Source organism: Homo sapiens, chromosome 7 (assembly GCF_000001405.40).
Source record: "Homo sapiens chromosome 7, GRCh38.p14 Primary Assembly".
NCBI lineage: Eukaryota > Metazoa > Chordata > Mammalia > Primates > Hominidae > Homo > Homo sapiens.
The window spans coordinates 89,440,422-89,464,657 of record NC_000007.14 but is presented as its reverse complement, the minus strand read 5'-3'; the positions used below and the strand labels follow the sequence as shown (position 1 = coordinate 89,464,657).

At 36.2% G+C, this 24,236-nt stretch overlaps 1 long non-coding RNA gene across 14 annotated transcripts in view; it reads right to left on the bottom strand.

The window, feature by feature from the left end:
- The window catches only part of LOC105375387 (uncharacterized), a 52,989-nt gene extending 32,261 nt beyond the window's left edge, over positions 1–20,728 (bottom strand). For all 14 annotated transcript variants that reach the window (NR_187914.1, NR_187924.1, NR_187919.1 and 11 more), the window contains exon 1: positions 20,601–20,728. This is a non-coding gene — a long non-coding RNA (uncharacterized LOC105375387). The remainder of the gene's footprint in view (positions 1–20,600) is intronic.
- Positions 20,729–24,236: the final 3,508 nt, after the last annotated feature.

Below are 24,236 nucleotides of genomic sequence, written 5' to 3'. Positions count from 1 at the left end.
TTAAAGAAAAGAATTTTCACCCCAGAATTTCATATCCAGCCAAACCAGGCTTCATAAGTGAAGGAGAAATAAAATACTTTACAGACAAGCAAATGCTGAGAGATTTGTCACCACCAGGCCTGCCCTACAAGAGCTCCTGAAGGAAGCACTAAACGTGGAAAGGAACAAATGGCACCAGCCACTGCAAAAACATGCCAAATTGTAAAGACCATCAAGGCTAGGAAGAAACCGCATCAACTAACGAGCAAAATAACCAGCTAACGTCATAATGACAGGATCAAATTCACACATAACAATATTAACTTTAAATGTAAATGGGCTAAATGCTCCAATTAAAAGACAAAGACTGGCAAATTGGATAGAGTCAAGACCCATCAGTGTGCTGTATTCAGGAAACCCATCTCACGGGCAGAGACACATATAAGCTCAAAATAAAGGGATGGAGGAAGATCTACCAAGCAAATGGAAAACAAAAAAAGGCAGGGGTTGCAATCCTAGTCTCTGATAAAACAGACTTTAAACCAACCAAGATCAAAAGAGACAAAGAAGGCCATTACATAATGGTAAAGGGATCAATTCAACAAGAGGAGCTAACTATCCTAAATATATATGCACCCAATACAGGAGCACCCAGATTCATAAAGCAAGTCCTGAGTGACCTACAAAGAGACTTAGACTCCCACACAATAATAATGGGAGACTTTAACACCCCATTGTCAACATTAGACAGATCAACGAGACAGAAAGTTAACAAAGATACACAGGAATTGAACTCAGCTCTGCACCAAGCGGACCTAATAGACAACTACAGAACTCTCCACCCCAAATCAACAGAATATACATTTTTTTCAGCACCACACCACACCTATTCCAAAATTGACCAAATAGTTGGAAGTAAAGCAAAGCACTCCTCAGCAAATGTAAAAGAACAGAAATTATAACAAACTGTCTCTCAGACCACAGTGCAATCAAACTAGAACTCAGGATTCAGAAACTCACTCAAAACCGCTCAACTACATGGAAACTGAACAACCTGCTCCTGAATGACTACTGGGTACATAACGAAATGAAGGCAGAAATAAAGATGTTCTTTGAAACCAATGAGAACAAAGACACAACATACCAGAATCTCTGGGACGCATTCAAAGCAGTGTGTAGAGGGAAATTTATAGCACTAAATGCCCACAAGAGAAAGCAGGAAAGATCCAAAATTGACACCCTAACATCACAATTAAAAGAACTAGAAAAGCAAGGGCAAACACATTCAAAAGCTAGCAGAAGGCAAGAAATAACTAAAATCAGAGCAGAACTGAAGGAAATAGAGACACAAAAAACCCTTCAAAAAATTAATGAATCCAGGAGCTGGTTTTTTGAAAAGATCAACAAAATTGATAGACCGCTAGCAAGACTAATGAAGAAAAGAGAGAAGAATCAAATAGACACAATAAAAAGTGATAAAGGGGATATCACCATATCACCACTGATCCCACAGAAATACAAACTACCATCAGAGAATACTACAAACATCTCTACGCAAATAAACTAGAAAATCTAAAGCCCTCAGAAATAACGCCGCATATCTACAACTATCTGATCTTTGACAAACCTGACAAAAACAAGCAATAGGGAAAGGATTCCCTATTTAATAAATGGTGCTGGGAAAACTGGCTAGCCATATGTAGAAAGCTGAAACTGGATCCCTTCCTTACACCTTATACAAAAATCAATTCAAGATGGATTAAAGACTTAATCGTTAGACCTAAAACCATAAAAACCCTGGAAGAAAACCTAGGCATTACCATTCAGGACATAGGCATGGGCAAGGACTTCATGTCTAAAACACCAAAAGCAATGGCAAAAAAAGACAAGATTGACAAATGGGATCTAATTAAACTAAAGAGCTTCTGCACAGCAAAAGAAACTACCATCAGAGTGAACAGGCAACCTACAGAATGGAAGAAAATTTTCACAACCTACTTATCTGACAAAGGGCTAATATCCAGAATCTACAATGAACTCAAACAAATTTACAAGAAAAAAACAAACAACCCCATCAAAAAGTGGGCAAAGGATATGAACAGACACTTCTCCAAACAAGACATTTATGCAGCCAAAAAACACATGAAAAAATGCTCATCATCACTGGCCATCAGAGAAATGCAAATGAAAACCACAATGAGATACCATCTCACACCAGTTAGAATGGCAATCATTAAAAAGTCAGGAAACAACAGGTGCTGGAGAGGATGTGGAGAAATAGGAACACTTTTACACTGTTGGTGGGACTGTAAACTAGTTCAACCATTGTGGAAGTCAGTGTGGTGATTCCTCAGGGATCTAGAACTGGAAATACCATTTGACCCAGCCATCCCATTACTGGGTATATGCCCAAAGGACTACAAATCATGCTGCTATAAAGACACAGGCACACTTATGTTTATTGCAGCATTATTCACAATAGCAAAGACTTGGAACCAACCCAAATGTCCAACAATGACAGACTGGATTAAGAAAATGTGGCACATATACACCATGGAATACTATGCAGCCATAAAAAAATGATGAGTTCATGTCCTTTGTAGGGACATGGATGAAATTGCAAATCATCATTGTCAGTAAACTATCTCAAGAACAAAAAACCAAACACCGCATATTCTCACTCATAGGTGGGAATTGAACAATGAGATCACATGGACACAGGAAGGGGAATATCACACTCTGGGGACTGTGGTGGGGTGGGGGGAGGGGGGAGGGATAGCATCAGGAGATATACCTAATGCTAGATGACGAGTTAGTGGGTGCAGCGCACCAGCATGGCACATGTATACATATGTAACTAACCTGCACAATGTGCACATGTACCCTAAAACTTAAAGTATAAAAAGAAAAAGAAAATCTAGAAGAAATGGATAAATTCCTTGACACATACACCCTCCCAAGACTAAACCAAGAAGAAGTTGAATCTCTGAATAGACCAATAACAGGCTCTGAAATTGTGGCAATAATCAATAGCTTACCAACCAAAAAGAGTCCAGGACCAGATGGATTCACAGCCACATTCTACCAGAGGTACAAGGAGGAGCTGGTACCATTCCTTCTGAAACTATTCCAATCAATAGAAAAAACCTCCTTTTATGAGGCCAGCATCATCCTGATACCAAAGCCTGGCAGAGACACAACCAAAAAAGAGAATTTTAGACCAATATCCTTGATGAACATTGATGCAAAAATCCTCAATAAAATAATGGCAAACCGAATCCAGCAGCACATCAAAAAGCTTATCCACCATGATCAAGTGGGCTTCATCCCTGGGATGCAAGGCTGGTTCAACATACGCAAATCAATAAATGTAATCCAGCATATAAACAGAACCAAAGACAAAAACCACATGATATCTCAATAGATGCAGAAAAGGCCTTTGACAAAATTCAACAACCCTTCATGCTAAAAACTCTCAATAAATTAGGTATTGATGGGATGTATCTCAAAATAATATGAGCTATCTATGACAAACCCCCAGCCAATATCATACTGAATGGGCAAAAACTGGAAGCATTCCCTTTGAAAACTGGCATAAGACAGGGATGCCCTCTCTCACCACTCCTATTCAACATAATGTTGGAAGTTCTGGCCAGGGTAATTAGGCAGGAGAAGGAAATAAAGGGTATTCAATTAGGAATAGAGGAAGTCAAATTGTCCCTGTTTGCAGATGACATGATTGTATGTCTAGAAAACCCCATTTTCTCAGCCCAAAATCTCCTTAAACTGATAAGCAACTTCAGCAAAGTCTCAGGATACAAAATCAATGTGCAAAAATCACAAGCATTCTTCTACACCAATAACAGACAAACAGAAAGCCAAATCATGAGTGAACTCCCATTCACAATTGCTTCAAAGAGAATAAAATACCTAGGAATCCAACTTACAAGGGATGTGAAGGAGCTCTTCAAGGAGAACTACAAACCACTGCTCAAAGGAATAAAAGAGGATACAAACAAATGGAAGAACATTCCATGCTCATGGGTTGGAAGAATCAATATCATGAAAATGGCCATGCTGCCCAAGGTAATTTATAGATTCAACGCCATCCCCATCAAGCTACCAATGACTTTCTTCACAGAATTGGAAAAAGTACTTTAAAGTTCATATGGAACCAAGAAAGAGCCCACATTGCCAAGTCAATCCTAAGCCAAAAGAACAAAGCTGGAGGCATCATGCTACCTGACTTCAAACTATACTACAAGGGTACGGTAACCAAAACAGCATGGTACTGGTACCAAAACAGAGATATAGACCAATGGAACAGAACAGAGCCCTCAGAAATAATGCCCCATATCTACAACTATCTGATCTTTGACAAATCTGACAAAAACAAGCAATGGGGAAAGGAATCCCTATTTAATAAATGGTGCTGGGAAAACTGGCTAGCCATATGTAGAAAGCTGAAACTGGATCCCTTCCTTACACCTTATATAAAAATTAATTCAAGACGGATTAAAGACTTACATGTTAGACCTAAAACCATACAAACCCTAGAAGGAAACCTAGGCAATACCATTCAGGACATAGGCACGGGCAAGGACTTCATCTCTAAAACACCAAAAGCAATGGCAACAAAAGCCAAAATTGACAAATGGGATCTAATTAAACTAAAGAGCTTCTGCACAGCAAAAGAAAAGAAACTACCATCAGAGTGAACAGGCAACCTATAAAATGGGAGAAAATTTTTGCAACCTACTCATCTGACAAAGGGCTAATATCCAGAATCTACAATGAACTCAAACAAATTTACGAGAAAAAAACAAACAACCCCATCAAGAAGTGAGCAAAGGATATGAACAGACACTTCTCAAAAGAAGACATTTATGCAGCCAAAAAACACATGAAAAAATGCTCATCATCACTGGCCATCAGAGAAATGCAAATCAAAACCGCAATGAGATACCATCTCACACCAGTTAGAATGGCGATCATTAAAAAGTCAGGAAACAACAGGTGATGCAGAGGATGTGGAGAAATAGGAACACTCTTACACTGTTGGTGGGACTGTAAACTAGTTGAATCATTGTGGAAGTCAGTGTGGTGATTCCTCAGGGATCTAGAACTAGAAATGCCATTTGACCCAGCCATCCCATTACTGGGTATATACCAAAGGACTATAAATCATGCTGCTATAAAGACACATGTACATGTATGTTTCTTGCGGCACTATTCACAATAGCAAAGACTTGGAACCAACCCAAATGTCCAACAACGATAGGCTGGATTAAGAAAATGTGGCATATATACACCATGGAATACTATGCAGCCATAAAAAATGATGAGTTTATGTCCTTTGTAGGGACATGGATGAAACTGGAAATCATCATTCTCAGCAAACTATCGCAAAGACAAAAAACCAAACACCACATGTTCTCACTCATAGGTGGGAATTGAACAACGAGAACACATGGACACAGGAAGGGGAACATCACACACCGGGGACTGTTGTGGGGTGGGCGGAGGGGGGAGGGATAGCATTAGGAGATATACCTAATGCTAAATGACGTGTTAATGGGTGCAGCACACCAACATGGCACATGTATACATATGTAAGAATCCTGCACATTGTGCACATGTACCCTAAAACTTAAAGTATAATAATAATAAAATTAAATTAAATTAAAAAAAACAAACTTAATATTGTGCATTTTGAATTTGAAGCTATAGCAAAACTACTGCAACATTCTATCCCAACAGACATGGAAGACATTTATTGAGGATATTATGTAGGTTTTCTCCCTTTTTATAAATCGAAGTATAGCTTTGGATTAGAATAAACTGCTATGTAGCCGCTGTGTCTTATTAGACTTGTGATTTTTGCTTAAATAAGCTATTCTTTTTATCTTACTTTCCTTATTTCTTTGATTTAACAACTCATTAGCAGGTCACTCACTGTTGTACCCACTAAACTTTTCATTTAAATTTACCAGTCAGTTTGTTATGAAAATATGAGCTACTATAAGGCATCCTCACTGGGTGGGTAGCACTGCTTAATTGTGCAAAGCATGGATTCAGTCTTCTTGAAAGTACTTCTGCTCTGTCTATGATCAGTGGCTATTTTTTCCAGGTAAATTTTATTTGTATCTTTAACACATGAAGATGTTGAGTGCAGTGCATCCATTTTGTGAATTTATTTCTGAAATTCTCATGACCTTGACTGAGGACAAGCAGAGAGCTTTTACAAATAATACTCTGCCTTCATCTATAAAGTTCTGGAGAGAAGAGAAAGTGTCCTGTGGAGTCCTTGGGAATTAATTATACACTCACCGCTGGGATCTTAGCCATTCCCTTGCTGGCTGTTAGCTTTCATAGATGACCAGACTCTCCTAATATGGGCAAGTAGTCACTGGGATTATGATATCCATGTGGAAGTCTGTGCTAGTATTCCAACCACAAGTGACCAATTATCACACGTTGTTATTTTACCTGACTAAATCAATCACACAAGCATTACATTGCTTTTCTAGTAACAACCAGTTCACGGAATTTACTGAAGGCAAACTGTGAATTAGCCACTCGGTGTTCCTCCGGGCAGACAGTCCAGAGAAAATGAGGAGGTTTCCAAGGGAAAGCTCATATTGTAAATTGTCAGGTATTAAAAAGAAAAATATAAGGTTGAAGTCAATTACCCCTGACAACTTCTGACTAGCAACATTTTGGCTTTATACTGACTAGACATTGTCAAATGTAAATTATCCTGTTTATATTTTAAAAATACAGACAGCTTGTCTATTGGATTACTACACTTAAGCAGCTAAAATATTTACAGACATAGAAATTGTATTTCTTGTAAACAACTATTATCTCTCTTGAGCAACCTAATCCCATGTTTTAACCTATTTTGAGGAGGTAATTAGCTACCTCTTTATTCCCAAATTGAAAATAGTTAATAAGATTTTCTTCATCAAATGATTGTCATAAATTATTTGAATAAAACCCCCCAACTCCATATATACTTTAGCTTTTATTTTTATTAAACCATACTAAACATTTCATCAACATTTTTGTTTTAACCAAGAATGTCTGACTTATTAAAAAGTAGTTTTTCTGAAGAACCATTAATTTTTCTCTGGATTTATAATGATAGATAGAAAAAGAAAGATAAAGTGATCTTTTTTTGCTTGCACTACTGTATAAAAATTGCCTTGTGTAGTAGATACAGCTTAAATAACTAATTGCAGCTGGTTACTTATGCAGGCTGAGTTTTTGTTTTAATCAATGAGAATTTGGTTACAATAACAAGAAGCATTGTGCTCCTGCTAAGGAAAAATTTATGTCTTTGGAAGTGGCATGTCATGGAGCACCATCTTGTACACTGTGTTGGGATTCTGTTTTCCTAAATCTACAGCAATAATCCTGCTACATGTCAGCAAGAAACATTAGAGATCATACTCACAAGGTACTTTCCAGACACAAATTGAGAAGAAAATATTGAAATAAGTAAATCAACCTGCTTTTCCCTTAAGTGAACAATAGGGTGGAAAAAATCTGGGAAGAGGAGGGAATCAATGTACATTTGTTAATAATGACCCCTTATAAAATATTTACTTGTTTTAACTTTTTAGCTTAGGATAATAATAACTCCTAATAAATCTACCCAGCGTAGAGATTAATTTTCCTGGTTATGAGGCAGAGTTTCTGGTTTTGTTAAGAAGTCAATTACATTTTCTATAATGTGTGCATTAAAATAATAGACTTCTCATATTGTAGCTCTATTGTAGCTCTATAGTAAGTACATTTTAATTATATTTTATTCAGGTTTATAAAAGTATAATTAAAATATATGCTATAGTAGACAGAGTCTTAATTCTCAACATATCATTATTGGGTTGAGATACAACAGAAGCTGAGTCAGCAGAAGAGTTTTATTTTGTATGCATCTTTTGGAATGTTTCATAATATTGTGATATCTAAAAACAGGCAACAAGGACACTTAGAAGCAGGAGTAGAAATTTTAGAGGCCAAAATAGTCGCATCTATTGGCTAAATGCAGCTAGACTTTTTATATCACATTGGCCAGTGATATTGAGGTATCATTTTCTATTAAACCTGTATAATTTATTTTAAAGATATATTGTTTGCTTTTCAAGCTATACCATTATGTCACCGATACTCTTATTTTAACAAGTATTAATATGTTGGGACTCCATGTATCTTTGAAATAGCCCCAAACAGGTACTTTTTCAATAGTCCAAGAAAATACCTTTTTTATTTTCTTAAATTATAAGGTTCTAATACAAAATCCAGTAAGAACTGAGCTGTAAAAACTTACAGGACAATATGAGTTATCTAAGTCAAGTAGTCATACACAGAGGGGCCAGAAAAAGCATGTTGTACCTTTTTTAGTAGTGGAAGGGAGTAACACATGATGCTGTTTTACAAAATCATTGTTTTACAATAATCTAGAAAGCCACTTCTTCATTCATCAGTAGGGCCTTTCTGTTGGATTCTGTATGAAGATCAGTGTTTCTGAAATCCCAACCAATTATTTTACTCTTTTCAAGTTTCAACAGTGTTTTTAATGCCTATAGACCTAGGTTCTTGGTGTTCATAGCAAAGAAAGGGTGGGGGGTGGCAGGTTACATATAAGATGAAGTTATTTGCAACTTTTGGTATTCTATCTATTTATCCATCTGTCTATGTATCTATGATCAGGTCACTGAATAAGAGGCAGAAGAAAATCAGAGATTTTGTGAAGGATTTGACTGGCTTTTTTAAATAAAAACTTTGTGCTTGAGGTGTTATGATATATGATATAAATGTGACAAGAGATTTGTAAACAGATCTGGTGTCAATTTTATGAGCTAACATGAAATACCATGAATTTGAGATAGAGCAAAGGGAATTGTGCCAACATTACTCATTATCATAGTTCATAATCCACTTACATTTGTAAAAATATAAGAATTTTCAATGAAAATAATGCTTCAAATATTTTGTAGTAATCAAATCCCATTATGTTTATGGAAGTGATATGTAAATTATAAAGTCATTTATGCATTTTGGTTGTTATTAAGCCTATAATATGGTAAGGAGGCAGTGGTTTGACCAGCTGACTATTTGTCTCACCTAGGGAGGGGTAACAACATACTGACTTGGGGCCAGCCTCCAAATTTAGATGGGAATGGCTTGGGATGCAGCTGGACATCAGATCTCTAGGTAATTCTAATGTGCATTTAGGATGAGAAGCCTATTTTGAGTATGCAATATGTCTAAGTAATTTACCTATATTATTTCTAATCCTTTTAATGACTAGGAGTAATTATTAATATCATGAGGGACTTGAAAATCGAGAAGTTAAAAATAAATTCCAAGTTTGTAAATGGTTAAATACGAAACCAGGATTTGATCCCAAGTATATTTGCCTTCATACATAGCCCTGGCGTTTTGACTATATCATACAACATATGTGATAATAAAACAATGTACATAAGAGAACTTATGTTTTCTGGATGAAAATAAATATAAAAGATTTCTAAAGGCAGGCCTTTGTTAAACATTTTAGGATGGTGTGAAATGCTCAATAATTATGGAAAGTCATTTGTAAAAATCTATAAAAAGATTATCTTATAATAACAATAATTGCATGCTTCCCTTATGATGATCCACTCCCAGGCACTGCATTTGTGCTATTTCATTTACTTGTCACAGCAACTTTAAGAGACAGATGCTACTATTATTATTTTGCAAAATGAAAATATTTTACAAAAAATGCTTGGAGGGTTACCCAACTACCTGAAGAATACAGACAATCAATGGTAGAACTTGATTCAAACCCATCAGTTGGAGTCTGACCCTATTCTTTTTTAAAGAAGTATTTTGTATTTATGGACCTGTCCTAAGGAAGTAATACTGAATAAAAAATAAGCTATGTGCATAAACATACTTACTGCAATTTCTTTCTTAATGGTAAAAAAGTGGAAAAAAACATTTAACAACAGTGCAATAGTCAAGTAAATTATGGTAGATAATTGCTGTGGAATATTATGTACCTATTGTGAACAATGTTTACAACAATTAAAAATATAAACAAGTGTGGCCAGGCACGGTGGCTCACACCTGTAATCCCAGCACTTTGGGAGGCCGAGGCAGATGGATCAGGGGGTCAGGAGATTGAGACCATCCTGACTAACACAGTGAAACCCCGTCTCTACTAAAAATACAAAATATAAGCCAGATGTGGTGGCGGGCGCCTGTAGTCCCAGCTACTGGGGAGGCAGAGGCAGGAGAATGGCGTGGACCCGCGAGGCGGAGCTTGCAGTGAGCCGAGATAGCGCCACTGCACTCCAGCCTGGGCTACAGAGCCAGACTTCATCTCAAAAAAAAAAAATTATATATATATGTGTGTGTATATATACACGTATATATATGTATATATACATATATACGTATGTATGTATTTTTTTACATATATACACGTGTATATATGTATATATGTATATATACATATATACATATATACGTATATACGTGTGTATATACGTATATATACACATGTGTATATATGTATATATACTATATACATATATATATATACGCGCACACACACACACACAAATGTTTATTAGGTCACCTCTAGTTCTGCATAGTATGTAGGAAACTATTAAAATAGTGTCTTCTTCACTTGCAACAAGAAAAATCTAGATAATTGGTGGAATCATAACTTTTTTTGAGCCCATCAGAGAGCTGAGGCTAGTAAACCTGAATCATGTTTAAAGATTCCAAAGATGGACAAACCCCTCTTAGGAGAGACAAGACATGCAATATGTCTGACCTTTGACAAAGCATGGGAGAGAGTGTTGGCTGCCTTACTAATCACTAAGAAGATACTGACCAACCTTTTAATGGATTTTAAAAGGCCAAATGGGTGCTGATTTGTTCTGGAGCCCCAAAAGAAGGGTAGTTCAAACTCACTTGAAAGCATTTCTTTATGTGTATATACTATGTTCTCATTTAGTACAATGTATGCAATGCATGATACTGGTAAAAGCTTACTAATTTGGGTTTTGCTGTAATTGGATTGATGGGTGATAAGAGAAGGGAATCTGTTTAAATGAATTAGGCATACATTTTACCTATCATTAACATTATTGTCTATTATATTATGTGAATTATAGAATTTTTTTGATTTTGGCATTAGCTGTTAATAGATATTATGCCAACTTCAGGTAGCGGAATTAGGGTACCTGCCTTGTCAAAGAAAGAATATTGACTATTGTTTAAACTATTTTTTTCTAAATTCACCTGGAATAGAATTTGAGATTCCATAAATACCTGTAAATATGTACATTCTAGGTTCCCTGATTTCATATTTTGTAATAAATTTTTTCAGTTCACAAGGAAAACAGTCATACAGTAAGTGAAATGATTGTTTACTATTTTAATTGCAACATGCAAGTTGTGATTTGGCTCCATAACCAGCTAATTATCCATTGAATTAATTCTGGAACTCCTTAGTGAATTTCAAAGAACTGCCGTATCATTTTTCAAATATGTCACTTCTTTAGTGGTGAGTGAAATCATTTTACATAACATTTAGCACTAAAGCCTTTCTTTCAGGAAGGCTAAAATGAGCCCCTCCCCCCTTCCCTGGTTTTATTACATTTATATGATACAAAGGAGAGGTGTATATACAGAAATAGATCCCCCAAAAGGAAAATCTCTCTCTTTTTCTCTCTTTCCCTGGTTCTTTCTCTCTGGTTCTCTCTCGCTCTCTCTCTCTCTCTCTCTCACACACACACACACACACACATATGCTCACACACTATTGTATCAGCATTTTTTTTGAACTAAAGCTTCCTTAACACAAATTTCAAACAATAGCTTTTTTCTGCCATCCATATTCAATATTTAGAGATGGTGAGATGTAGCAAAATCCAATGACAGTAAGTTTAGTTCTTCACACTCATTGCATCAGGGAGACAGGTTTGAATTAATTTTGACTGGTATGAAATAAATCTTCAGAATAAAATGGAATTGACTGTGCCTGTGTTTTCACAAGTCTTTTTAGGATGAAATTTGACATTTTTCCCTCTCCTGGGGGTGGCAGTTTACTTACTGCTGGTTATTATTGCTGTTTAATGAAACTTAGAGTTTTCAAATAGAGAAACTAATTACTATTATTATTTCAAGAGATTTTCATTTTCCCCTCCATTTCCCTCCCCCCTCCACACTCCATCCCTTATGTGCAATGTGGGAGAATAGAGTTACATTCATTTGCATTGAATAGCAGGCTCTGGCCATAAGGTATTTCATAAAGTACAAAGTAATTGAAAAGAGTGTTAAGTTTACAGTTTCTCAGGAACCTAGGACCCCTTTCTAACCTAAAAACTAGGATCAAGCTCAGAGAAATATATCAATGACATGAGTCTTCCCTTCTGGGTTCTCAGATGACTCTTTAACTAGCAGAAACTAAATACATCCTGTGTTTCTTTGAGCTGACAATTTAAATTCTAATTCTGGCTACTCATCTTTGAAGAAACAGGAGGCACCCAGCTAGATCCCTGCACATAATTGGACCTAAGTCAGTTTCTGCCTGTAATTATGTCCCTGAAGTCAGATGGTTTAAACCTGAGCAGGGCCATGTTTTTGGCTTCTTTGCTGGATGCTTTTATTTTTGGAATAAAAAATGTTGTCAAATTTCTGGGAGATATATATATATATATATATATAATATATATATATATATATAATGTTATATATACTATATATGTTATATATAATGTTATATATACTATATATCATGTTATATATACTATATATCATGTTATATATACTATATATCATGTTATATATAGTATATATAACAAATATATTTAAAACATAAATATAATTAATATTTAAAACTTGGCTGTTAAACCGTAATAATTGGTAAATTGGAATCAGACATAAGAGATGTGATGATAAACATAGAAAAATATAAGTTAAACCAATAAAAACCATTCCTACTATTGGAAACAAGCTATTATTGGAAAAAAATGACCACAGGACTTAATTAGTATCTACATTATATAGACTAGAAAACCATGCTGAAAATATATACTTGGAACAGTAGGCTGAAGACTTTTGATGTGAGCTGGAGAGTACTCAAGCCTAGCAATTAATTTTGTTAATATTAAGTTACACTGTTAAACATGGGTAGCCATTCCCCACCAGCAGAGATGCCACACGCCTGCTTTAATTTATTCTTACAGTCTTAGAGAAGAATTTTGATGAAGCCCCAGGATAACCTTTTCTCCATGTCACTTGGAAAATTCCACAAATGGGAATAAATCATATAATAAAATAAGGGAAAGTGTGTCAAGCTGGGGAGATGAAGGGAGGGAGGCAAGACAGGTAATGAGCAGCATACAGTTTAGGGGACAGAGGAAAAGAGAGAGAAAGAGAGAATGAAGGTGGCATATTGTCTTAAAATTCTAGCAAGATGGATTGGCATGTTTTCCTCTTAGTTTTTGTTCTAGTCATTGCCCTTACTTTAACAACCACTGAGTACTCATTAAGACATGTTTTCCACTCTGTGGAGTTCAGATATACTTCTTTAATTTTAGTTTAAGAAAATCTAAGAATCTAATCTCTTCTAAATAATGGGGACTAGGAGTATTTCTTTTTAGCTTTTTTTTTTTTTTTTTTTTTTTTTTGAGACAGAATCTCCCTTTGTCGCCCAGGCTGGAGTGCAGTGGCGTGATCTCCGCTCACTGCAAGCCCCGCCTCCTGGGTTCACGCCATTCTCCTGCCTCAGCCTCCCGAGTAGCTGGGACTACAGGCGCCCGCCACCACGCCCAGCTAATTGTTTGTATTTTTAGTAGAGACAGGGTTTCACCATGTTAGCCAGGATGGTCTCGATCTCCTGACCTCGTGATCCACCCGCCTCGGCCTCCCAAAGTTCTGGAATTACAGGCATGAGCCACCGCGCCTGGCAACTGTGAGTATTTCAACTCCAATACACATTATGTCACAGCCTATCTCAATATATGGTCAGTGCACTAACCTGAAGGGAAATAACATGACTTAATTTCTGCTTATTCTGAGAGTTTTCTAGATCGGTGGTCTTACAGCCCTATTTTTATTCACATTATGGATATCTATATCTATATCTGTATCTATATCTATACCATCTATATCTCTATAAACCAGGGGCAGGGCCATGTTTTTGGCTTCATAACCAGCTAATTATCCATTGAATTAATTCTGGAAATCCTTAGTGTGTGTGTGAGTGTGTGTGTGTGTGTGTGTGTGTGTATGGGTGTGTGTGTGTATGTTTTCTTTTTTCACATCAACTTTTAAGTTCCAGGGTACATGTGCAGGATGTGCACGTTTATTACATAGGTAAACGTGTGCCACAGTTATTTACTGCACAGACCAACCCATCACCCAGGTATTAAGCCCCACACCCATTAGCTGTTCTTCCCGGTATTCTCCCTCCCCCTGCTCCCCACAACAGGCCCCAGTGTGTGTTGTTCTGCCCCATGTGTCCATGTATTCTCATCGTTCATCTCCCACTACAGTCTTATTTTTATCTTTAAAAAAATCTTAAATAAAGGGCATTCATTTAGGAAAAGAGGAAGTCAAATTGTCCCTGTTTGCAGATGACATGATTGTATATCTAGAAAACCCCATTGTCTCAGCCCAAAATCTCCTTAAACTGATAAGCAACTTCAGCAAAGTCTCAGGATACAAAATCAATGTGCAAAAATCACAAGCATTCTTCTACACCAATAACAGACAAACAGAAAGCCAAATCATGAGTGAACTCCCATTGACAATTGCTTCAAAGAGAATAAAACAGCTAGGAATCCAACTTACAAGGGATGTGAAGGACCTCTTCAAGGAGAACTACAAACCACTGCTCAATGAAATAAAAGAGGATACAAACAAATGGAAGAACATTCCATACTCATGGGTAGGAAGAATCACTATCGTGAAAATGGCCATACTGCTGAAGGTAATTTATAGATTTAATGCCATCCCTATCAAGCTACCAATGACTTTCTTCACAGAATTGGCAAAAACTACTTTAAAGTTCATATGGAACCAACAAAGAGCCCGCATTGCCAAGTCAATCCTAAGCCAAAAGAACAAAGCTGGAGGCATCACGCTACCTGACTTCAAACTATACTACAAGGCTACAGTAACCAAAACAGCATGGTACTGGTACCAAAACAGAGATATAGATCAATGGAACAGAACAGAGCCCTCAGAAATAATGCCCCATATCTACAACTATCTGATCTTTGACAAATCTGACAAAAACAAGCAATGGGGAAAGGATTTTCTATTTAATAAATGGTGCTGGGAAAACTGGCTAGCCATATGTGGAAAGCTGAAACTGGATCCCTTCCTTACACCTTATACAAAAATTGATTCAAGATGGTTTCAAGACTTACATGTTAGACCTAAAACCATAGAAACCCTAGAAGAAAACCTAGGCAATACCATTCAGGACATAGGCATGGGCAAGGACTTCATGTCTAAAACACCAAAAGCAATGGCAACAAAAGCCAAAATTGACAAATGGGATCTAATTAAACTAAAGAGCTTCTGCACAGCAAAATAAACCACCATCAGAGTGAACAGGCAACATACAGAATGGGAGAAAATTTTTGCAACCTACTCATCTGACAAAGGGCTAATATTCAGAATCTACAATGAGCTCACTCAAACAAATTTACAAGAAAAAAACAAACAACCCCATCAAAAAGTGGGTGAAGGATATGAACAGACACTTCTCAAAAGAAGACATTTATGCAGCCAAAAAACACATGAAAAAATGCTCATCATCACTGGCCATCAGAGAAATGCAAATCAAAACCACAATGAGATACCATCTCACACCAGTTAGAATGGCGATCATTAAAAAGTCAGGAAACAACAGGTGATGCAGAGGATGTGGAGAAATAGGAACACTCTTACACTGTTGGTGGGACTGTAAACTAGTTGAATCATTGTGGAAGTCAGTGTGGTGATTCCTCAGGGATCTAGAACTAGAAATGCCATTTGACCCAGCCATCCCATTACTGGGTATATACCAAAGGACTATAAATCATGCTGCTATAAAGACACATGCACATGTATGTTTCTTGCGGCATTATTCACTACAGCAAAGACTTGGAACCAACCCAAATGTCCAACAACGATAGGCTGGATTAAGAAAATGTGGCATATATACACCATGGAATACTATGCAGCCATAAAAAATGATGAGTTCATGTCCTCTGTAGGGACATGGATGAAGCTGGAAACCATCATCCTCAGCAAACTATTGCAAGGACAAAAAACCAAACACCACATGTTCTCACTCATAGGCGGGAATTGAACAATGAGAACACATGGACACAGGAAGGGAAACATCACACACCGGGGACTGTTGTGGGGTGGGGGGAGGGGGGAGGGATAGCATTAGGAGATATACCTAATGCTAAATGACGAGTTAATTGGTGCAGCACACCAACATGGCCCATGTATACATATGTAACAAACCTGCACATTGTGCAAATGTACCCTAAAACTTAAAGTATTAAAAAAAAAAATCTTATCCAAGGGGCCGGGCATGCTGGCTCATGCCTGTAAACCCAGCAACTGGGGAGGCCGAGGCAGGCAAATCACTTGAGCTCAGAAGTTTGAGACCAGCCTGGGCAATATGTCAAAACCCCATCTCTGGAAAAAAAAAAAAAAAGAAAACTTTCCAAGGGCATTCTGGTTACCTCTAAAAATACTGAATCTCTTCTGCATCCTATTATTTCTCCTCAAAAAGAAATATAAGATAAATCATTGTTGTCATATTCTAAATTAAGCAATGGATATCAATAACCACTTAGCCTGTTTTGACTTATTACCTATTTATGTTTTTAGCCACACAATCTAAGCCATATTAAGTCTAAGTCATGTAAAGTCTTTCCATTTGAAACACAAAATTTATGAGACACTACTCTTGATGTTTCATATTTTTACATGAGTAACTTTACATGAATAAGGAAAATGTCTTTTTCAACAACGTGAATTTTAGATAAGACTTTGCACTGAATGTGTTTATATTGAACTTTGAGGTAAACAAGAAGGATTAAAGTTTTCTGGAAGGCAGAATATATCAGACACTGAATCATCAACAGTTTGGACTGATAACTGTAAAGGTCCAACATAAGAAATGAAATAAAGCTTGTGAGCCAAAATTTTTCTTGGAATTTAACCATTTATTAAAGATATTAACCATTTGCCAAAGTATACAAAAATATTAGTGTGGCAAATGTGTGTAGTTAGGTTTTCAAACTAGACTATATTATCCATCAAAACTCAGACCCAAAGTAATTGTTTTACTTCCTTATTTTCCAGATTTACTCTAAAAAAAAATGGTTTTAATAAAAGTTTTGTCACTTGTATAGTGGTACAAGTTGGTGAAACAGTATTTGGAAAGCTTTTCAAATTTAATAAATGGAAAAAAAGAGAGGGAAGTTGTGATATAAATCTAAACAAAATGGTTTTGAAGAGGCTGGAAAAATAAATCCAATACAGGTGAAATTAGTTGTTCTGAAATCTGCTAACAAATGAACTGTACTTGAGGCTTTGACCTTTGGACTGACCCTGTGGCCAAACCATAAGCCATTTTTATATTGTGCCCCCATTTGGATCAGTACTATCTCATAAAAACAAGTATATTATTCTTCTGTGGGTACCTTGGATGCAGGGCTGGCATAAATCAAATTTCCTGTGGTTTCTGATCCTCTTTTCAAATCAAATTCTTAGGTGATAAAATATAAAATGACCTCTTTGTCCATTTGAGCTGGGCTGGAGAGAAACTTGACATTCTCTTGTCTGCACAGATCCTAAGCTATACCATCCAGGTGGCACGGCACTGGAGGAGAGCCTTGTTGCAGCTAAAACCTCACATACCAGAAGATATTTACTTTTGTTTTATAAAATTTGCAGTTGGAATAATTATGGCTCAGGATATGTAATAATTTCCTACCTCTCATTGGCTGGAAGGTTACTTAGGCCATGATAAGCCTTCCACATTTCAGAGAAGGAAGAAACTCTAAACACTGAAAATATCTGATAGTCATTCTGCAAGAGGTGCATTATACAAAGCAATGCATAATATGTTTATATCTATGGTAATACACAAGGTTCCTTTTAATGTATTTGAGATTTTTCAAGAGTGCCAGGCCATCCCATTTAGGACAGCCAACATCAGCATTGTCCTTGCCTGAATGGATCATTCAAGTCTGCAGAAGTTTTGTTTTATTGTCTCTTCATACATGTCTGTAGTGGATACTCTGGGTATAACCCAACTCTCATTTCAAGGAAAGACTTGGTGTCCCAGTTGCTGGGAGTGCTGACAGTAGACAGCTTTCAGATGTCAGCACTTCAGGGAATTGTCTCAGCTTCAGAAAGCCACTTTCCGCGAGGTTATGTCCTTCCTGGGATGGCTCACGTGCAGTCTAGACAACTCTGGATGGCCATTCTAACTCAAGAACTGCCCAGGCTGACACTGATATTGGGACTGCAGGTAGCTTCACTTCCTACTCTGCCCAATCCTGCTTTCTTCCCTTCCCTTCCACAAGTGTTAGTGGATGCTCAACTGTGTGCTCAACTGTTTTCAAATCTGCTTGCTCAAAAAAAACCCCAACCTATGGCAGTATCTTGCCATAGTTTTTATTCACTTCAAGGCCCTTGGGCAAAGATGAACTTTGACAAGAAAATTATTACAACTTCTGGATGGGATATCAACCTGAGCATACCTGTCTAAGTACTTCTACCCAGTGCCTTAAGATGATTCAAATAATGTCCAGTAAGATATAAAACTAAGAGAAAACACTCATCATAGGTAGATTCTAGAGATAAGTGACAAGTACATATTATTAGCTTAATATAGAATAATAGAAATGTAATCATGATCCAGAAATGCAGGGCAGATTCAGTATTAGAAAATGAAACACTACTAATATCCAGAGTAACATATCAAAAGAGAAATATGATATGATTATATTACAGATGCAGAAAAGCATTAAACATAATTTTACATTGATTTTTAATTTAAACAATCATAAATGAGAAACAGAAACAAAGTTTCTTAATTTGATAAAATATATTTACTAGGATCCTAAAGAAAACATCTGACATAATTGTAGAGCATTTAACTTATTAAAGTTAGAAGCAAGTCAATTGTATTAGTTTTCTATTGCTGCATAACAAATTATTACAAACTTAATAGCTTAAAACAGTATTTGTTAACTCACAGTTCTATGACCAAATACATTGGATTGAAGATTTACATCTAAAAAAAACCTCATTCTTGTCCATCAGAAATAACCAAGTTATACTATAGTAGATGGAAAATATACAATAATTAAAAAATATTAACTGGGAAATAACTAGAACAAAATGTTATTTATGAACATAAATATCTGTATGATTTGGGACATATTATTTTTAATGAGAAGAACATTCAATATTGAAAAGATAATTAGCTACAAATTATTTACATATTTATGAAAGAAGAAGGAAATCTTCAGTTATTTATGGAACATGAATCAATAATTTTAAAATTTATATAGAGAATTTAAGTTCAAACATTATGAAAGAATGGACCCAAACCAACAGACTTCTCTTCTTTTCTGGGAAGAATATAGTATAAACCATATCTTTAAAAAATTAAATACATTGCTGAGCTAGAAAGAAAAAAAATGAAAATTTTCAGGTGCCAGTAATAAAGCTTAAGTACAACCAGATGCTGCTGCAACCCAATGGGATGTTTATCCTAGCTATAACCATTAATGCCTGTAGAAAAGGTTAACATACAACTATAAGTAATAATTTTCTACATATATTGCAGACAATTAAAATTATAATTTCAGTATAAACCTACTTTAAATAGCAAAAAACCACCAAAGAGAGTATTTTTAAATATATATATATCTACAAAGCTTTTATGGGAAAAATTAAACAACTTTTTGAAGGTCATAAAAATGAACTAAAGATGAATAAATATCCTATGGTGAGGAATACTGATATCATAAATACCTTTTTAATGTCATTACAAAACTCAAACTGATGCAATGCTAATAGGCAGAATTATAAGGATTAAGTAGCCAAAAAAAATTTTAAGACAAAAAAAAAATAAGAGCACAGAAAAATTTGCTGAACAGAACTTCAAGGCTTGCTATAAAGTTTATGCTAAATAAAATAACAGTTTTGGCACAAAAATAGAGAAAGCAATGGAACAGAAAAGAATATCTAAAATTATATAGACAAAAACTTCAAGATGAAAATAATATACATTATTCATCTGAAGAATGTTTAGTTATTTGGATATGCATGTGAAAGATGATAGAACAGATTCATCATATAATATATGTACAGTAACCAACCAAAAAAAGAAAACACAGCTAAACATTTAGAATGATAATAGCTAACATAGCATGCTGAATGTTGTACTAACTCTTCCATTTTGTTAACACGTGTAAACCTCAGAACAATTCTGTGAGGTAAGTATTATTAATATCGTCATTTCTATCTTTTTTGTCATTACAGACAAAGGCACTGAAACACCAAGTTGACTAACTTACCTGATTCTTCAAAAGCAATGAGGTGATTTTGAAAGAAACAGACTGGCTCCAGAACCTATGTGCTTAATCACTGTATACACAGAACTATCCCCACTAGTGTATTCTCCCAGTAGACATAGCAGAATACATTTGTGACATCATAATAAGAAAAGGTTCCTTAGGAAAGGCACTAACACTTGAAACAATGAGGGAAAATATAGATATGTATCAAAAATTTAAACAACTATGTAACAAAAGACTACAGATTCAAGTGAATGAGAAGCCTCAGACTTTTAAGTATGACCTTTTATCAAGTAAAATGACAAGTTTATGAAGAACTCCCACAATGAAAAAAAGATGACGCTTACAAAGAAAAAATAAGTAGATAATTTTAAAGGGAGGAAAAAAGAGTCCTTGATAGATGTATGAGTATTACAGCACCACAAAGGGAATTACAAATCAACCGTTAATGAGATACAATTTTATACTCATCAAATTATCTAAAAAATGTATAAACTAATAAAACTAAGTATATAGCCAAGGAGATGGGGAAATAGATCATTGCATATTACAGGCAGTTGAAAACAAACATTGGAGTCTATTCTGGAGAGCAATTCTACATTAGCTAGTAATGCTTAAATATGCATACCTGATTATCTAATAATTCTGTTCCTTGGAATAGACCTGTACTCTCTAAATATGGTAGACACCAGCCACATGTAGCTATTTAAATTATGTTTATTTAAAATTTATAAAATTTGGTGTTTTAGACATGAAGTCCTTGCCCATGCCTATGTCCTGAATGGTATTCCTAGGTTTTCTTCTAGGGTTTTTATGGTTTTAGGTCTAACATTTAAGTCTTTAATCCATCTTGAATTAATTTTTGTATAAGGTGTAAGGAAGGGATCCAGTTTCAGCTTTCTACACATGGCTAGCCAGTTTTCCCAGTACCATTTATTAAATAGGGATTCCTTTCCCCATTCTTGTTTTTGTCAGGTTTGTCAAAGATCAGATGGTTGTAGATGTGTGGTATTATTTCTGAGGGCTCTGTTCTGTTCCATTGGTCTATATCTCTGTTTTGGTACCAGTACCATGCTTTTTTTGGTTACTGTAGCCTTGTAGTATAGTTTGAAGTCAGGTAGCATGATGCCTCCAGCTTTGTTCTTTTGGCTTAGGATTGTCTTGGCAATGTGGGCTCTTTTTTGGTTCCATATGAACTTTAAAGTAGTTTTTTTCCAATTCTGTGAAGAAAGACTTTGGTAGCTTGATGGGGATGGCATTGAATCTACAAATTACCTTTGGCGGTATGGCCATTTTCACAATATTGATTCTTCCTACCCATGAGCATGGAATGTTCTTCCATTTGTTTGTGTCCTCTTTTATTTCATTGAGCAGTGGTTTATAGTTCTCCCTGAAGAGGTCCTTCACATCCCTTGTAAGTTGGATTCGTAGGTATTTTATTCTCTTTGAAGCAGTTGTGAATGGGAGTTCACTCATGATTTGGCTGTTTGTCTGTTATTAGTGTATAAGAATGCTTGTGATTTTTGCACATTGATTTTGTATCGTGAGACTCTGCTGAAGTTGCTTATCAGCTTAAGGAGATTTTGGGCTGAGACGATGGGGTTTTCTAGATATACAATCATGTCATCTGCAAACAGGGACAATTTGACTTCCTCTTTTCCTAATTGAATAAAAGCCAAAATTGACAAATGGGATCTAATTAAACTAAAGAGCTTCTGCACAGCGAAAGAAACCTGCTTCATCAGAGTGAACAGGCAACCTACAGAATGGGAGAAAATTTTTGCAATCTACTCATCTGACAAAGGGCTAATATCCAGAAACTATAAAGAACTCAAACAAATTTACAAGAAAAAAACAAACAACCCCATCAAAAAGTGGGCGAAGGATATGAACAGACACTTCTCAAAAGGAGACATTTATGCAGCCAAAAGACACATGAAAAAATGCTCATCATCACTGGCCATCAGAGAAATGCAAATCAAAACCACAATGAGATACCATCTCACACCAGTTAGAATGGCGATCATTAAAAAGTCAGGAAACAACAGGTGCTGGGGAGGATGTGGAGAAATAGGAACACTTTTACAGTGTTGGTGGGACTGTAAACTGGTTTAACCATTGTGGAAGACAGTGTGGCAATTCCTCAAGGATCTAGAACTAGAAATACCATTTGACCCAGCCATCCCATTACTGGGTATATACCCAAAGGATTATAAATCATGCTGCTATAAAGACACTTGCACACATTATGTTTATTGCAGCACTATTCACAATAGCAAAGACTTGGAACCAACCCAAATGTCCAACAATGATAGACGGGATCAAGAAAATGTGGCACATATACACCATGGAATACTATACAGCCATAAAAAATGATGAGTTCATGTCCTTTGTAGGAACATGGATGAAGCTGGAAACCATCATTCTCAGCAAACTGTCGCAAGGACAAAAAACCAAACACCCCATGTTCTCACTCATAGGTGGGAATTGAACAATGAGAACACCTGGACACAGGAGGGGAACATCACACACCCGGGCCTGTCGTGGGGTGGGGGGAGGGGGGAGGGATAACTTTAGGAGATATACCTAATGTTAAATGATGAGTTAATGGGTGCAGCACACCAACATGGCACATGTATACATATGTAACAACCTGCATGTTGTGCACATGTAACCTAGAACTTAGAGTATAATGAAAAATAATAATAAAATTAAAAATGTAGTTATTCAGTCTCACTACCCATATTTCTTTTTTTTTTTTTTTTTTTTTTTTTTTTGAGACGGAGTCTTGCTCTGTCGCCCAGGCTGGAGTGCAGTGGCGGGATCTCGGCTCACTGCAAGCTCCGCCTCCCGGGTTCACGCCATTCTCCTGCCTCAGCCTCCCAAGTAGCTGGGACTACAGGCGCCCGCCACTACGCCCGGCTAATTTTTTGTATTTTTAGTAGAGACGGGGTTTCACCGTTTTAGCCGGGATGGTCTCGATCTCCTGACCTCGTGATCCGCCCGCCTCGGCCTCCCAAAGTGCTGGGATTACAGGCGTGAGCCACCGCGCCCGGCCTCACTACCCATATTTCAAGAGCTCAGGAAGCCACCTGTGCCTAATGGAAACCATATTGAACAGCACAGATCATAGAACAGTCCCATTATCACAGAAAATTCCTATTAGACTGGTATGGACCTTGAAGAAACTCTAATACATGTGTTTCAGAAAATTAATAAAATGTTGCATATTGTGGCTCTGGTTGTGATTACCAAAACAAACAAATAAATAACACAAAACAAAAAACAAGAAAGGAAAGAAAGGAAATTATCTAACTGTTTATCATATATAATAGATAAATTAAGATGTATTTATAATAGCGTATATGTTAAAATCAATTAATTAGATCTGTATATGAACATAAATAAATCTTGAAAAGTATCATTTTTGAAAACAGAGTTATTTGCACACTATGATACTGTTTAGCAGAATTTTTTAGAAGTAATATTAGCTTTATTGCTTTATGCCTGTGGTTAAAGTGTGAGGTGAATACACAGTAAATTTATAGCAGTGAAATCTCTGGGAATAAGAGGACAAGGGGAGGGTGGAGTGAGGACAGGTTTGTGGTTCTTTGATTTTATTTAAAATGCTTTAAT